General features: G+C 51.3%; 1 protein-coding gene across 1 annotated transcript in view, besides 2 other annotated features; it reads right to left on the reverse strand.

Annotated features, from left to right (window-relative positions):
• SLIT1 (slit guidance ligand 1) overlaps positions 1–17,557 on the reverse strand; it is a 187,922-nt gene that overhangs the window by 74,437 nt on the left and 95,928 nt on the right. The window lies entirely within an intron of this gene.
• Positions 358–652: a silencer, noted in NCBI's record as "tiled region #3512; K562 Repressive DNase unmatched - State 12:CtcfO". NCBI's record gives its function as "represses a minimal TATA promoter and a strong SV40 promoter by Sharpr-MPRA in K562 cells {active_cell/tissue: K562}" and the evidence as "EXISTENCE:reporter gene assay evidence [ECO:0000049][PMID:27701403]".
• Positions 7,615–8,391: an enhancer, noted in NCBI's record as "NANOG-H3K4me1 hESC enhancer chr10:98839846-98840622 (GRCh37/hg19 assembly coordinates)". NCBI's record gives its function as "activates a minimal SCP1, AML or CMV promoter by ChIP-STARR-seq in naive H9 embryonic stem cells {active_cell/tissue: H9 hESC(naive)}" and the evidence as "EXISTENCE:reporter gene assay evidence [ECO:0000049][PMID:30033119]".

Genomic DNA, 17,557 nt, shown 5'->3' on the forward strand with positions numbered 1-17,557 from the left:
CAGGCTTTGTTCTGGGGCACCAAAGCTTAAAGAGGAAAGACACAGCCCCCAGGCAGGCAGGCAGCAGGTGATGCCAACGGCCATCAAGAGATAAGAGATGGCCCAAAGCTGGGTGTGGAACTGTCCCACCCTGGCCAGTCAGCCCACAGCCGGAACCAGCCCTCATCGTTTAAATGAAGACAGGAAAGTGAATTTGGGGCCCCAGGAGAGGCCAGAGGAAAACAGGTGAACCTTGGAAGCCTCAGGAAAATGCAGCCTGATGGCAGCAAAGCGGGTGGTAGAAGGAGCCTGCACCTGTAGAGAGAAGGACCAGGTTCAACTCCTGCTTCTGCTATTGACCAACCATGGACCTCGAGAAGTTCTGCACCTGAGAGCTTCAGGTGTCCTATTTGTAAAATAACTACCACGTGGGACTTTGGAGAAGATTGTGAATTGATGTACTTAAGCTTCTGAATCACAACCTCCATTTAGCAGCATTCAAGAAATGCGGGCTGTTGTCCCTGCCCGAAGCACAGCCTAAGCAACCCTAAGGCTCTGTTGTTTCAAGCTTTCCCACGAGGGGGCGCCAGAAGCCTTCCCTGGACCTGGATGCCTCAACCACATCGCAAACTAGCAGAACAAAGCTATTCTCTTTTTTTTTCTTTTTGCTCCAACTGACTTCCTACCTTGCCAATACTTGTCTCATCTTTCCCAAATCCCTTTGAAATAAAGTTTATCATGTCTTCTGCCCCTGGTCTGTGTGGAAACCCCCCAAAAGCACCACCTAAGCCTTTCCCCATCAGTTTTCCGGGAGCTCTGGGCCACCTTCATCTTCCTCAGACCCAGTCATTGCTGCCCGTCCTCCTCCCACGCGGCCTTGTCAAACGCCCTGAAGTGAGGAGATGGCCAGGATGTGTCTGGGCAGAATGAGACACCCTGAGAACTGCCGTCCTGGAAGCGGGCGGGATCTGCGACTGGAAGGACAAACAGCCAAGCCCAGGGCAGCCAGGGCCTGTCCCAGCCCGGGGAAGCGGAGCCAGACAGGGGTTCAGAAGGAGGGCAGGGGCAGGACAGTGACGAGGGCACCATGACAGATCCCCAGAGTCAGACCCAGGACAGCGCTGGGGAGATACAGGGCTGGGGCAGAAGCTGAAGGGCGGGACAAGGTCCCAGACTTCTGACAAGCACCTGGGGGATGCGGGGATGCTGGTCCAGGGAGCACTCACGGAGAGGCCAGGGTGCTGAGGACAAAGCCCACAGCTGGGTGTCACAGGGGAGACTTGGCTCCACTCACTTAAATCGTGTGGTCTCGGGCAAGTCATGTAACCTCTCTGGCCCCAGTTTTCTCATCTGCAACATGGGGATGGAAAGCGGCACTTATGTTGCAGGATCTGATGGGAGAGGTGCCGCTGCCTACTCCCTCACCTCTGCTGACATTCCTCCAGTTTCCCAGACCCCTCCTGACATCCACAGGACCTGTGTACTTGCTGTGGCTTCTGCCTGGGATACTCTTCCCTCACCTTCACCCAGGAAACGCTATTTATCCTTCACACCTCAGTCTACAAACACCTCCCCTGAGCCTGAGTCAGCTGCTCTATCTGCAACAGGCTCCTAGCACCCCCACTTTTACTTTTCGGCACAACCCAGGCTTGTAATAAAATACAGGTGCACCGAATGTGATGAAGTACTGACTCTGGTGAACGTCCATCTCCCTCTCCAGACCATAACCTCCCAGCAGACACTCTCCTTCACTTTCCCTTATATCCTGGCACATTGCAGAGACTTAGTAATTTTTAGCTGAATGAACTAAAATGGATCCTTACATGAGTCCTCTGCTCTAATCCCTCTCCGTTTTCCCGGCCAAAACAAGTAGTTAGGACTGGCCAAGGGAGAGGCAGGAGCTCAGGGCCAGACAGGCTGGCTGTGCATGGCGAGAGACCACAGCTCCCCACCTATGCTGCGGCCACTTGTACCTGCTCTGCCTAACCAGGCTGCAGACCCAGTGAGATGCAGGCTCAGAAGGGGAAGGCAGGCACGAGCAAGCACTTGTTATTGTGGATGATGTAACAATCGCACCTCTTCCCTTCACACATCCTTCAGGATATTAACAACCAACACCCTCAAGTGGTTCCAAGTTCACACCAGCTCAAGGCAAGGGCCCTGCAGACAAAGCATGAACCCCATTGCCAAGATCAAGCACCCCAGGAGGCAAGCTCCACCAAGAGCAGCCCCCACTTGGCCTGGAAGCATCGGGCAACCCCAGTCGGCCGCCCGCCCCTGAAGACAAGGGGGCCGCCAGGCCCACACCCTGACTTGGCACCATCCCCAGGCACCCTGCTCTGGCTGCCCCTCCTTCTGCACACTCTGCCAATCCCCCCATCCTCTCCCAGGGCTGGAGGAGGCAGGGGTTGGGGAAGCTGAGGTCAAGACCCCATGTTCTGGCTGCTAATCTGCCTTCACGCTCTAACCTGATTGGTCCCTGCTGGCAGACCAGCCTCTAAGGGGATTAGCAGTGGGGGCAGGGGTGGGAGTACACAGAGGGCTGCTGGGCACCTGCCAAGGCTGGACTGGGCTCTGGGTTCTTGCTGCCCACTCGGGCGCCACTGCAGGGCACAGGCCTTACTTTGTCTGCCTTTCATGCCACATGGAAGCTCTGGGCAGCCTGGCCTGTCCCCTCGGCCCCCTGCAGCCCGAGTGGTTACCTTGAACCAGGGCACCCCAAGGGTACCAGGGCACCTCATCTGGGGGCTTAGATCCTTGTCAGAAGATGGTTGGATTAAGGACTCAGGCTCTGGCCTCATGCACATCTTCTAACCCCCAAGCCTCAGTCTTCTCATGGTAAAATGGGAATAATTATCATATGGCTTAACCACAGCTGAGTGTGGGGCCTCAGCCAGGACTGGCAGAGTTGGCTGCCATTGCCCACACTTTAATAATTGCCTTTTGGGCTCTGTAGGGAGGAGGAGGGAGGGTCAGGGCCTGGGAGTCAGGAGGCTGAGGCTCAAGGCCGCCAACCCACTCCATGACCTCTGGCAGGACCACAGTTAGTTCCCAACATCTGCAACAATACTGACCTCCCAGGGATGCTGGGAGGATGGGATTACATGCTGTGTGTGTCACACACTCAGCGTGCCCACTGGTAGCTGGTGCCAGCACGGGGCAGCCTCACACGACTGTTATCAATAAGTGGCTGCCCGGGATTCCACTGCAGATAACTCAGCAAGTGAGTCCCTGGCACCTGGTGGATTGGCAGCATCGTCATCCCCGGGAAGTTTGATAGAAAAGCAGATTTTCTGGGTCCCACCTCCTGAGTCAGGATCCCTCAGTGTCTCAGGTGCACACTGAAGTCTGAGAAGTGCTGCCTCCAGCAGAGGAAAGGTGTAAAATGTTTTAATGTCCCCAGCTGGAGCCAAAGCAAACCAGATTATAACCTCTGTACTGGTTAGCATTTCAAAGCAAGGGTTGGAGGTGCCAACTCCTATTCTTTGGGGGCTGAGGTGGGGAGACTTAGACACAGACACCCCTAGTGAGTGGAGAGAGGGAAGAGCAGCTACCAACCCCTCAGCTGCAGCTCACCAAGGCCCGCCTTCCTGAGGAACAGAAAAGGCACCCACAGGGCTGGTGGGGGGCAGGGACCAGCCACTACATTTGTCCCACAGGCCCTTCCTGCATTTCTGCCAATTTGCATGGAAGATGCCTGAGGGCACGGGTGAGGAGCAGGTGTGGGGCTCCCTGGTGAATCAGCTCCAGCACTCACAGCAGAGGAAGACTTGGCATCTCCAGCATTGCCAGGAGGTCAGGAGTCCCAGCCCTGGCTCCCTGCTCAGGCCAGGGAATGGGAGACAGACTCCTAAGGACTGTCTGTGCTCCAGGGCCCTGCTGCAGGATGGCTTGGCAGGAGGGAGGCTATCAATACCCATGGGTGGGACGCTGGGATGCACATGCTGCTCAGAGATGCTCCTGGGATCTCGCTGGACCATCCCGCCTTTGTCTCTGCCGGTTCTTCACACCTCCCTTTAGATCCTATGCCTCCCACGTAGAAGGGGAATTAATTCTGCAAGTACCCCTCCCTGCCTGCTCTCTCCAGCCCATGAAACAACACTCAAGTGCCCCAGATCTACCCTGTGTGCATACTGCATGTGTGCACGCCTGTCTCCAGGTCAGGGACTAGGTCTAATTCACCTTCAAGGTGGGTTCTGGAGAGCATTCGATGATAAGAACCTGCATTGTGCTGCCTTGGGCCTCAACCCAGAGGCCAGGGCTTTGTCCACTCACAAACCTCAGGTGCTCCCAGAAGATGCAAGTAGAAAGCTTATCAGTCAGCTAATTCTCAGTGTGAATCTGTTTGTTTCATCTTCTCCAGAAGTTCAAGCTCAGGTAGGGGCCAGGGCCAGGGTGCAAAGCAGACCCAGCAGTGGTGTCAAAGAGACCACACTGGTGCAGTGAAGGGGGAGTGGGTCCCGCCTGCCACAAGCCCAGTTTCCTTTAATCTGGTCCTCTACTTCTCTGTCTTGTGAAAATACAGGACGGAACCGGGGGCCGTGGCTCACACCTATAATTTCAGCACTTTGGCAGGCTGAGGTGGGAGGATGGCTTGAGGCCAGTTTGAGATCATCATGGGCAACATAGTGAGTGAGAGCCCATCTCTCCAAACAGCTAACAAAATCAGCGAGACATGGTGATGTCTGCCTGTAGTCCTAGCTACTCGGAGGCTAAGGCAGGAGGATTGTTTGAGCCTAAGAGTTCAAGGTTACAGTGAGCTATGATCATGACACTGCACTCCAACTTGGGTGACAGAGTGAGACTCCATCTCTTAAAAAAAAAAATCACACAGGACAGGATAGATCCTGGGAGCTGCCTTTGCCACCTCCACTAGGCTTGGCTGCGGTCCTTTGAGTGGCAAGTTCCCCTTCCTAATCCTGGGTGCTCTCCTGCTCCCCTTCTCTGCAACCCTGACTGCCTTGAGCCAGACCAGCTGGAGCAGATGGCAGGGTCATCAGATCAGCGAGTTTCCCTAAAGGAAGTCTCAGGGCGCAGTAGCTAGTCTGGGAGCAGAGCCCTGCAGCCTGGATTCAAAACGAAGCTCAGCACCAACTGATGCCTCTTTGGGCCTCAGTTTCCTTTTCTGTAACATAAGTTTGTAAGAGGAGACTGGCACACGGTGGGTGACAATCAGTTGTATTGTCCGTGAGGCTTCCAACTGCCGCTACTAAATCCTGAGTGGTACAGCTCTGTGACTCTGACTGAAGAAATGACTGCTCCCTCTCCTTTACCACCTCTTCCACTCCTAAGAGAATGATAAGATTCACGGAATTAAAGCTCACACATGCTCTGTGAGGTCTGGAGATTTTTTTTCAATTATCGAACTACAGTCTGGGCACAGTGGCTCATGCTTGTAATCCCAGCACTTTGGGAGGCCGAAGCAAGAGGATCACTGGAGCCTAGGAATTTGAGGCAACCTGGGCAACATAGCAAGACCTGGTCTCCACAAAAATGTTTTTAAATAATTAGCCAGGTGTGTTAGTGTGTCTGTGGTCTCAGCTACTCAGGAGGCTGAGTTGGGAGGATTGTCAAGCCAAGGAGGTGGAAGCTGCAGTAAGCTGTGATCATGCCACTTCACTCCAGTCTGGGCAACAGAGTGAGACCCTATCTCAAAAATTTAAAAAATAAATAAATAAAATAAAATGTGGAACAGCCAACATGGTCCCAGGGAATTCCTGATGTCCAAGTTCCTGCAGGTGGTTTGGGGGCCTGACACTGTGGATGGTGGGGTCTGAGCTCTGCCCTTATTCATCCCACCCACATTTACTGAGCACCCAACATGTGCCAGGTCCCATCAGCTGGAGAGGTGCGCCCCTTCCCTGCCCACCGCGAAGCCACAAACCCTCCTGTGGCAGCCCCCTCCTTCTCCCTCCACCACCACCAGAGTTAATGTTGCAGAAACCTCATCAGGCAGAGACATTAAGCAGCCTTGAATGGCCGCAACATAAAAGCACCCAGGGTAACATTTCCTTGAACCCGGCTGTTTGCTATGCAGCTACTGAGCATGCGTTCCCCCAACAGAGATATCAGGGGCACATCCCACAAGGCAGCCCTGCTTTGAAGTGAAAGTTCAGCCCTGCCAAGGAACAGCAGCTCAGAGGCTAGAGTCCCACTAAGCAGTGAGAGGCTCAGGGGCACACAGAAGACACAACTAGCTTCGTCCTCTTCAACTCTACCTACTGCAAGTGGCAGACATGAGTCCCAGCCACTAAGGCAAGGGCACAGCAGCAGGCAACGAGGGTGAATGAAGCAGGCAGAGGAATGCAGGCCCCTCTGCATGTGAACACCAGGGCGAGGCCTCCGGGCTTACTCAACACCAGGTGCTGGGCGCGGAGACCTTGGAGGCCCCTGGTGACCTGCTAGTCCTGGGCGGGAATGCACCGGGGAGTATGAGAGGCAAGGCTCCTGTCCCAGGCACCTACAAGGAACAGTTAGGACCAGCGACTTCAGAAGTTCCCAGGCCAGACACACAATGGTGGGGGCAGGGGAGGTGGTGCAGGAGGACAAAGAATTGATGTATAGAGAAAAGGACATGAGCTTTGGAGCCAGAAAACCCTGGGCTTGACTCCAAGCCCTACCATTTACTGCCTGTGTGACCTTGGGCAAGTTACTTAACCTCTCTGAGTCTGGTTACTCATGGGTAGAGGAGGGTTAATCACATCTCCCTCTTGCTGAGTTGCGAGGATTAAATACCATATGTACCACTTATATAAAGCTCAAAATAGGCAAAACTAATCTATGCTGTTGGAAGCCAGGATTGTAGTTAGTCGGGATGGGGGGTGCAGGGATTTGTGGCTGGAAGGAGGTACAGGAGGCTTCTAGGAACTCATGATGTTTTACTTTTTGATCTGGTGCTGGTTACATGAGTGTGTTCACTTTGAGAAAATGTGGTGAGCTGTATACTCACTGGCACACTTTTCAGAATATATGTTATACTTCAATTAAAAGTTTTAAAAAGTAACATGGGAAGCACTGATTCCAGCACCTGGTGCTTTGTAGGCATTCAACAAATGCCAGTGCCCTCCCTCTCCAGTCCCTGCTGGAGGAGACAAATGCAGAAAAAATCTGCCAAGTGACAAATACTCCAAGAAGCCAGGCTCACAATTTTAAGCAGTGGGAAGATTCCCAGGCTGAGAGGAAACTGCACGGAGGACAGTGTGGCAGAAACAATCCCCAGCCAACAGTGAGGAGGGACTGGGGCCAGCTTCCAACAGACACAGAGGCGGAAATGGGAAAATGGGCACTGTGCAGATGTGAGTATCTGACTGTGCCAGGTGAAGATGCTGCATCTTCCAGAGTCTCTAGTACAGCAATACCGGTTCAGGTTCTGTGTCTTCCTGGAGAACAGGCACAGCACCCTGCTCTGGGACAAGACTTCCAGGTCATGGGGTAGAACTACAGGAGCAAGGATCTGGGAGAGCCAGGGCTGGAGTATGGGAAATAGGCCAATGGAATAGCCTTCAGAGTAGGTCCAAATGCCTTCTCTGCCTTGTTGCAGGAAGCAATGAGGGTATGTTGTAAAATAGAGAAAACAGAAATCAAAGAAGTAAAAAGAATAAAGACAGAAATAGGTAGAAATATCAAACAAAAGAGAGGTGCAGCCTGCAAAGCCCTTTGCATCTGCTACCAATGGGCCCCGGGCTTCTCACAGCCTAGGGGGACTTCGGGGAATGGTATCTTACACAATTTAGCAAGTCTATGGATAAAACAGCTTGGGAGCAGAGTGGCCTTTCCTGGGTCTAAAACCAAGCACAGAGGCCTCCTACAAGTCTTTATAAAGGGATGATCACAGGACATCGTTTCCTGCAAGGAGCTCCCTGCTACCCCCTGCCAAAAAATAGAGATGACTGTGAGAGAGAAAAGCAATACCCTCACTAGCATCCCCAGCGGGGGCCCAAGAACACTCAGCCACACCTTCCAAGTCACATGAAGCTAAGTCACAGGTCAGCTAATTCTGCAAAGGATCAATTTGCTAAATTTCTTTGTTTCCTTTAACAGTTTGGTTTTAGTTGGGCAGTTTCCCATTTCCCTTCACAATAGCCTTTTAAGGACAGTCAGATTGCCCCACCCCAGCCACTTCCTGTAGGAAGACTCCAAGCTCCACCATTCCTCTGTAGGAAGAGGCTGGGGCGGGTTCACTATAGTTCAAACACCCGGAGCTGGGGCAGAGACAAATGGAACAGTTCTTAAACTGCTGTAATAAAGACAAAATGCAAACCAGTCAACTCACACCAAATAGTTAAAAGAAATAAATCAATTTGACGTATTGGTCATTTGACAAATTGGCCATTCCATGAATTGACTTTTGGGGCAAATTGGCTTTTAGCAAAAATGGCATTTGGCAAATTGGTCTGCTTCTGTCACAGCAATGCATTTCACAGGGCAATTACTCACATGCTCCCAGCCCGGGCTTATGGCCTGGTACCTGATCTCAGGAGAAGTCGTTCTGCAGGGTCAGTGCCACCACCTACTACGCTGCTCTTTGCTGGACTGGCTCAAGCCAGGTGGGTTTTAGGGTATTTTGAAGAATGCACAGTCTACGCAACAGGCAGGCCACCCTTCACACGCATCACTTTTCTCAGGAAAGCTCATCCAGACTCTGAGGGGCAGACTCTTTGGGTTCTCCCGGTTGAGGACCAGGGGTGGGCCTGGGGCTGGGAAAGGCAGGATTTAATGTGGTTTGAAAAGAGAGAGAACTGAGGAGAGGAGTGACAGGGCTGGGCAAGTATAACCCAGGCTGTGCTGGGGGAAGGGGCTCTGCTCAGAGAAGTGACCAGGGCAGAGGGGCTGTGAATCCAAGCTTCTCCAGGGAGAAGCTGGGAGCCCCACCAACGTGGCAGGACAGCTAATGTCAAGACTGACGTCTGACTTGAAGTCATATCAGGAGCAGCCCACCAAGGAGGCCAGCAGAGCACCACTGGGTCCCTGGGGCATTTCCATTCCCTCTTCCTCAGGGGAAATGGGGTCCACTTCTCTACCAAAAAGACCATGCCCCATTCTTCCACACCTCAGTCTTCTACGGGGCTGTCACACCCTGTCAGTCTTGGCCTCAGGAGTTTCTCAGAAGAAAGAAGGGGCTGGAGGGATTGGAATAGCAAGAGGTCAGCTTCCCCAGGATATCTGCAGCCCCTGAGGCCCCCTCCACATGCACAGACAGGGATGCTCAAAGGGAATAAGACCCTAACAACTTTCCAGGCAGGCAGAAACACAGAGCCCTGACTGTTAACAGGAGCAAGGAAGGTTTCCAGTTGGCTGAGGGTCATCTGCAGGTGGCCACAACAAAAGCCCAGAGGAGCTACGAGGAACCACAAGGAGTCGCTGTCTGGGGAGCTGTCCGTGGTCCTGAATCCATCCGGCGGCTCTTCCTCTGCTCAGGGCTAAAGACTCACCTTGGATCCCAGCCACCTTCAACCTGACCCATCTGGCCCACACATCAAACCTTGTCTACTCAGCTCTTCTTTCTCCAAAGCCTACAGAGAGTCTGATCCATAACACACACCCAGAAAGACAGGATAGCTCCTCTATGAGCCTCAAGGGACCCACCCTTAGACTCCTAGGAGAGGCATGTGCTGACTGCAGTGCACATCACTAAGCTACTTCTATATGGGGTGAAGCTGAATCCTTCCCCAGTTTCCACTTCTCCAGAAGTCAGACCTCCCCGCTGCCTGCCTGAACACAGATGCAAGCACAGAGAGGTGCTGAGAGGGCATTTAGACATAATCCAAATCTTTGCACAAAAACTGTTCACTTTACTCCTAAGACATGAATGATTGTGACTGGCTCTTGTGTGACACACGATTGTTATTAGTGGTGGTGGTGGTGGTGATGATAGTGGTGGTGGCAACATTTATCGTGCATTTACTATGTGCCTGGCACTGTGCTAGGTATTTTATATGTGTTATATACATGATCTCATCTAATTCTTTTATTTTTTATTTTATTTATTTATTTATTTTTTGAGAGGAGTCTCGCTCTGTTGCCCAGGCTGGAGTGCAGTGGCATGATCTCGGCTCACTGGAAGCTCCGCCTTCTGGGTTCACGTCATTCTCCTGCCTCAGCCTCCCAAGTAGCTGGGACTACAGGCGCCCGCCACCATGCCCAGCTAATTCTTTGTATTTTTAGTAGGGATGAGGTTTCACCGTGTTAGCCAGGATGGCCTCGATCTCCTGACCTTGTGATCTGCCCTCCTCGGCCTCCCAAAGTGCTGGGATTACAGGAGTGAGCCACCACGCCCAGCCTCATTTAGTTCTTAAAACAACCTCATGAGACACATGCTCTCACCACTCTGGTGTGGGACGTTAATAGTCAGAGAGAATGTGTGTGGGAGGGGGCAGGGAGTAAATGAAAACTCTCTGGGCTTTCTGCTCAATTTTGCTGTGAACCTGAAACTGCTCTAAAAAAAGAAAGTCTACTGTTTGTTTGTTTGTTGTTTATAGAGACAGGGTCTTACTCTGTCACCCAGGCTGGAGTCCAGTGGCATAATTGTAGCTCACTGCAGCCTGGGCTCAGGCAATCCTGGGCTCAAGCAATTCTTCTGCCTCAGCCTGCAGAGTAGCTAGGACTCTGGGCACACCCCCACCATGCTCAGCTAAATATTTTTATTTATTTATTTATTTATTTGTAGCAAAGGGGTCTCACTATGTTGCCCAGGCTGGTCTTGAACTCCTGGCCTCAAGCGATGCTCCCACCTCAGCCTCCCAAAGTGCTGGGATTACAGGCATGAGATACTGCACCTGGCCAAAGCCTATTTTATTAAAAGTACTCTGATCATGCCTATTTTCCAGATAATGTAACTGAGGCATAGTAACTTTCCCAACCTGCCTAACTGCAGAACCCACAAGCTAACCCATTATGCTACACAGGCACAGCACATTAGAATCTTCAAACTGACGGGCAAGTGTGTGGGGAGGCTTCTGGAAGTGTATGTATGTCGGCAGTGACACTTGATGGATGAACTTGGAGGGAGGAGGTGAAAGCCTGGAAAGCAGAGTGCGATCGTGAACATTCATAATGTTGACATTGAGTCATCAAGGAAAGGTGAAATTATGTTCAGAGCCCTCTGTTTTAGAACTTAGATGCTTGTATAATAAATTCTAGACATATCCTCATCAAAAATGGCATACGGTTCACATGTTTTCCCTGAGCGGCCGTGCTGCAGAGAGTGTGGAATGTCAGCCCCTGTCTGCGATGAACATTGCCTGGGGACTTCTTGCCTCCCAGAATTCCTATGAGTGTCTCAGGAACTGTCACTCCTTCCAAACCCCTGTAGGTTTGAAAGGCAAAGAGGCAGGCATTGGAATCTTGTGGTGAGAGGCTTCGTTCAGAAGTCCCTTACAGACATGCAGCTGCATTTGACACTGCTTCCTTGAGGTCTCCGAGAATGAAGAGTGTGGTGGGAGCAGCTTGGAGGGGGGATCCAAGGCCATCAGCCCCTGACTTCTCACAGTCTTTGGCACACCTCTGGGCCACCACCCAGGAGCCCTCAGCAGGAGTGACACCAGGGCTCCTGGCCCCAGTCTTCATCTAGTTGTGGAAGTGACGGCCAGCTCTGCAAAACCTGAACATAGAGGGCAACTACACCTCCTGGTCTGGTGGCTGCAGCCAAATTCTGGGGGAGACAGGCAGAGGGTGGGTGGCTCTGACCACCATTGTGAATATCAGAAACTGTTCAGGGCTCAGGAGCCTTCATCTTAGCATCCAATTTGGCCCAACTCCTGCTTCTCTAGAAGGGGTGGAAATTTTCTCCAACTTCTAGAGAATAGCTCCCACAGCCATGCTCTCCCCCAGGGAAGGGTTGGTGCTGCCAGGCACCCTGCTGCCTGCCTCATTCTCTCCATCCCTAGACCAGGGGTCCCCACCTGGGCTGCAGAGCCACAAAGGCCACAGAGCTGTTGCAATATCTGGGTATCCTCATGCACCCCTAGCACTGTGTGTAGAGTGAATGAGGGTTAAACACCATGGGCTTTACCTCTGGGAGCCTTATTTTCCATATCTGTAAAATGGGAGAAAGTAACAGTCATAGCTGGTGGTTTAAGGCCCAATAAATAGGAGCTCTTGCTATTTCTTTTCTTTTCTTTCCTTTTCTTTTATTTTCTTTTCTTCTCTTTTCTTTTCTTTTCTTTTCTTGTGAGACAGAGTCTTGCTCTGTCACCCAGGCTGGAGTGCAATGGCTCGATCTCAACTCACTGCAATCTCCACCTCCTGAGTTCAAGCAATTCTCATGCCTCAGCCTCCCGAGTAGCTGGGATTGCAGGCGAGTGCCACCACGCTTGGCTAATTTTTTGTATTTTTAGTAGAGACAGGGTTTTGCTATGTTGGCCATACTGTTCTCAACCTCTTGGCCTCAAGTGATCTGCCTGCCTTGGCCTCCCAAAGTGCTAGGACTATAGGCATGAGCCACTGCACCCGGCCACTGTTACTTTTCTTTCCTTTTTTTTTTTTTTTTTGAAACAGAGTCTCACTCTGTCGCCCAGGCTGGAGTGCAGTAGTGTGATCTTGGCTCACTGCAAGCTCCACCTCCCAGGTTCATGCCATTCTCCTGCCTCAGCCTCCCAAGTAGCTGGGACTACAGGCACCTGCTACCACACCCGGCTAATTTTTTGTATTTTTAGTAGAGACAGGTTTTCACCGTGTTAGCCAGGATGGTCTCAATCTCCTGACCTCGTGATCCACCCTCCTTTGCCTCCCAAAGTGCTGGGATTACAGGTGTGAGCCACCACGCCCAGCGTTACTTTTCTTATACCTCCCATGTGGGTGCAGATGCCCTTGTGGACAAGTAAGATAGAGACTCAAAGGCACTGCTGGACTCCTAAGGTCTTCTTCAAAAACATGATGTATTTCCTTGGTCACTTCCTAACTACTGTACCCATGCTTTTTCTTCTTAGCATGTACTTTTTTTTTTTTTGTTTTTGAGATGGAGTCTCGCACTGTCACCCAGGCTGGAGGACAGTGGCACAATCTTGGCTCACTGCAACCTCTGCCCCCCAGGTTCAAGTGATTCTCCTGCCTCAGCCTCCTGAGTAGCTGGGATTACAGGCGCATGCCACCACACCCAGCTAATTTTTGTATTTTTAGTAGAGATGGGATTTCACCATGTTGGTCAGGCTGGTCTGAAACTCCTGACCCCGTGATCCGCCCGCCTCAGCCTCCCAAAGTGCTGGGATTATGGGCGTGAGCCACCGTGCCCAGCCAGCACTTACCATAGTTTTAATCAATCAATTATTTATGAAATTATGTAATTAATATCTATCTCCTTCATTTAATCTTGTGTTACAGAAGGGCAAGGGCCATGGATGTTTACTTTATGCCTAGCATGGAGGTGGGATGTCATCAATATTTGATGATTATCTTTGGGTACCAAAAAGGTCAAAACTAGCCCTTGGGAGGGGTCTGCGATGTTTTGACATTAACAAACAGGTCCTTCACCACTCTAGAGTGGCCAAAAGCCAGAGCACTGACAACGCCAGTGGCAAGAATGTGGGGCAACAGGAACTTTTGTCCTTTGCTGGTGAGGATATGAAATGGTACAGCCACTTCAGAAGATGGTTTGGCAGTTCCTCACAACACTAAGCATACTCTCACCATATGATCCAGTGATCATGCTCCTTGGCGTTACCCAAAGGAGTTACAACTTATGTTCACAAAAAATCTGTACATGGGTGTTTATGGCAGCTTTATTCCTAACTGCTAAAACTTGGAAGCAGCCAAAATGGCCTTTAGTAGGTGAATGGATGAGTAAGCTCTGGACCATCCAGACAATGGAATATTATTCAGTGATAAAAAGAAATGAGCTGGCCGGATGAGGTGGCTCACGCCTGTAATCCCAGCACTTTGGGAGGCTGAGGCGGGTGGATCACCTGAGGTCAGGACTTTTAGACCAGCCTGGCCAAAATGGTGAAACTCTGTCTCTACTAAAAAAAAAAAAATACAAAAATTAGCCAGGCATGGTGGTGCATGCCTGTAGTCCCAGCTACTTGGGAGGCTGAGGCAAGAGAATCGCTTGAATCCAGGAGGCAGAGGTTGCAGTGAGCCGAGATCGTGCCACTGCACTCCAGCCTGGGTGACAGAGCAAGACTCCAACCCTCCCAAAAAAAAGAAAGGAAAGGAAAGGACTATCAAGTCAAACTGAAATGCATATGATTAAGTGAAAGAAGCCAGAATGATATATACTGTATGATTCTAACTGTATGACATTCTGGAAAAAGGCAAAATTATGGAGAGAGTAAAAAAAAAATCAGTGGATGCCAACAGGTGGTGTGAGAGATGGATGAATACACAGAGCACAGAGGACTTTTAGGGCAGGGGAACCACTCTGTGTGATACTACAACAGTGTATCCATGTCATTAGACATTTGTCCAGACCCATAGAGTCTGCAACACCAAGAGTGAACCCTACTGTAAACTACACACTCTAGGTGATAATGATGTGTCAACATAGATGTATTGATTATGACAAATGTACGGCTCTGGTGGGGGATGTGATAACAGGGGAGGCTGTGCTTGTGAGGGAATGGGGATGGGGTAAATTGGGAATCTCTGTGGCTTCTGCCCAATTTTACTGTGAACCTAAAACTGCTCTAAAAAATAAGGTCTATTAAAACAATTAAAAAAAAAAAAACAGGTACCAATCCCCTTGAAGATTGACTGGACTGGATAAGTGTATGAAGCCCCCTGCCGCCACCACCCCCCAGCCCAGCCCCACACACAGCTGTCATTCCTCCAGGGGGCCTGTTCTCCAGCAAATGACAAAGGTCCCTGAACCAGGCCCAGCCTGCCTTTGTGACAGTGTTGGGTGGAAGGTCCACAGCCCCAGAAGGAAATTCTGACCATCTCCTGCAGCCCCCTCTCACCATCCTCCGGCTTGCCTCCCTGTTCCCCCAAACAAACACTTTTCCCCGTGGTCACCAGGGCCCTCCCCCGTCTCCATCCCTGCATTTGTCACATTGCATGTCTGCAAGTCTCAAGCCTCCTGATAATAACGATGGCAGCACAGCTGTGGAGAAGGATGCATCTGCCCTCTGCCAGCTTCCTGGAGGAAGGCACGCTAATATGAGTGAAGAGCACTGCCCTGGGCCGTACCTACAAGCCAGCACAGCCATGCCATGATCCAATAGTGTGCACACAAAGGCTCGCCTCAAAGCACGGCTCTCTGCCTGAGCCTCCTGATCACACTCTCGGCTCCTGTCCTGAGTATCTAGGGGGTAGTAACATCCCTAGATCTGATTCCAGCCTGGGGAGCCCGAGGCCTCCACTCTAAGCTTGAGCTCCAACTCAGAGTTACCAGAGCTGGGCGCTGGGGGGATGGAGTCTTGATCAGCCCAGCCAATATTTCCCATTTTCATCTTTCTTTGTTTGAGAACACAGCCAGGTTGGAGAACAAGCCAGGTAAACTAAAGCCTTGCTACCCAAAGTTTGCTAAGAAAATGTGCTGTACCAGCAGTGACAGAAATGCAGAATCGCACCCAGCCCCCGAGACCTGCTGCATCAGAATCTGCCTTTAATAAGGCGATTTGTGCGTGCATTCGAGTGGCACAGCACTGGATAAGAGAGTGGTTCTCAAACTCAGCTGCACACTGGAACTATCTGGGAAACTTAAAAAATACTGTTGCCTGGACCCACCCCAGAGATTCTGATTTTATTGATCAGGGAGGGAGCCTGGGCTTTGGGATTTTTCAAAGCTTCCAGGGGATTCCACAGGGCAGCCAGGGTTGAGAGCCCTCATTCTACACGTATGATCTCTAACCCTATCTTCTCTGTCCCTCAAACCCCTCATTTTGTCCTTTCCCACCCAGTGCCCCTCTTATGGTGCCACCTCTTTCTCCACCCCTTTCTCACAGTATTTCCAATGCCCCAGGATGACTGATGCTAACTAGGTGTTGAGGATATTGGGCCTGGAAGAGTAGTTCATACTAGGTGGTGAATGACTGACAGCCCTAATTTCTATGTGGTATGTCAGGGGGAGTTCTGGCTTAGGCTAGTCTATCATTGGTGACATCTGACCAGTCTGGGAATGTAAATGAAATGCTTTGGGCAGAGAGGGCTTTGCTGGTCGCCCTGGATTAGCTTTTTTTATACAGCTAAACGTACTATACAGGAAAGAGTTACACATGGCATGGGTGAAAGTTTGCTACTAAATTTAGACAGTTGAGCAAAGACACCTATGTGTCATCTGTGTGGATGTGCCCAAATCTCTGCATCCTGCTAACATTTTTGGTAGGAAAGAAAACAAAAGAAAGGGGAGTGAGTGAGGGGAGCACCTTCAGAAGCCAGGAACCAGGGCTGTGGGTGACAGGATCGCAGGGGCCCACGTCCATAAAGGAATGAAGCACTGTGTCTGCCACACCTTTTGGTGACTTGGTGTCAGCATCCCCACCCAAAACCCTCCCCTCATCCTCATGAGCTGTCATGGGGAGGATCTAGAGACCAAGGGAAGAAAGAGGCTGGATCACACTTGTTTATCAGATGAGCAGTGGCCAAACAGAAGCCAGAAGCCCCGGCCACTTGCCCAGCCTGCAGGTGCACTCCTGGGCAGCACCCTGCAAGGAGAAACTGCAGGAAAGCAATGGCTGAAGCCCTGCAGGAGCAGCAGCCAGCTCCCAGGTGCCAGTGCCACCACAGTGCAGCATCTGGGGGAAAGGCAAGGGAATCTGAGACAGAGAGAGAAAGGGAGGCAGTCCAGAGCCAGGAGACCAATGAAGAGAAAAGTGCAAAAACAGAATACAAAAGAAACAGAAGTGAAAGAAGAAAAAAAAGACAGAGTCAGACAGGAAGACACAGGGAGAGGCCAAGCCCCCCACGACTGGGGGTGAGGCTCTGAGCTGGGAAGCCTTGGGACTTCGCTTTTTGCAGCAGTGAGGGGTGGCAGTGAGTCCCTGTCGCACCTGACAGCCAGCTAAGGTGCAAATGAAAAGAACGCAGCGTGGGGCTGCTGGGGCCCTCGGCTCCAGGGCTCTGCTACTCCGTCTCTCTGGGCTGACTGCGCAGAGAGATAATTTGCCCATGGCTGGAGGTGTCAGACTCTGAAGATGAGTGTGAAGCCTGCAGGTGACCTGCCCACGGGGATGTGTCCTGTGTGACTAATCCCAGGCAGAGGTGGGAATGGAATTCTGGCCGCTGCAGCCCTATCTGAATCAGATCCCTGTGAGGCGGTGGAAGGTGTCCTGTCCTTACTCATGGCTGGGGGAGGGAGGCTTCAGCTGGGGGAGTAGGCTGAGGGATCAAGGCCAGCAGGGACGGCCTGTCATCGTGGAGGGGTGGGGTTCACCGGGGAGGATGGCTCATGTTCTGTCTCGTACATCACAAATCCAACAAGCATTTCACATGTCAGTTAAGGGCAGAAACTCTGGAGCCAGATTGTCTGGGCTGAATCCTGGCTCTGCTTCTCACTAGCTGGGTGACTCTGAGCTTGTCCCCTAACATCTCCGTGCCTCTCTTTCTTCTTGTATAAAATGGGAATAACAAATAGTAACAGTATCTAGCTGTGGTGGGGATTCAATAAGTAAGCATGTGAAGCATTCAGCTCAGTCCCTGCTGGCAC

This window comes from Homo sapiens, chromosome 10, assembly GCF_000001405.40.
Source record: "Homo sapiens chromosome 10, GRCh38.p14 Primary Assembly".
NCBI classification, from domain to species: domain Eukaryota; kingdom Metazoa; phylum Chordata; class Mammalia; order Primates; family Hominidae; genus Homo; species Homo sapiens.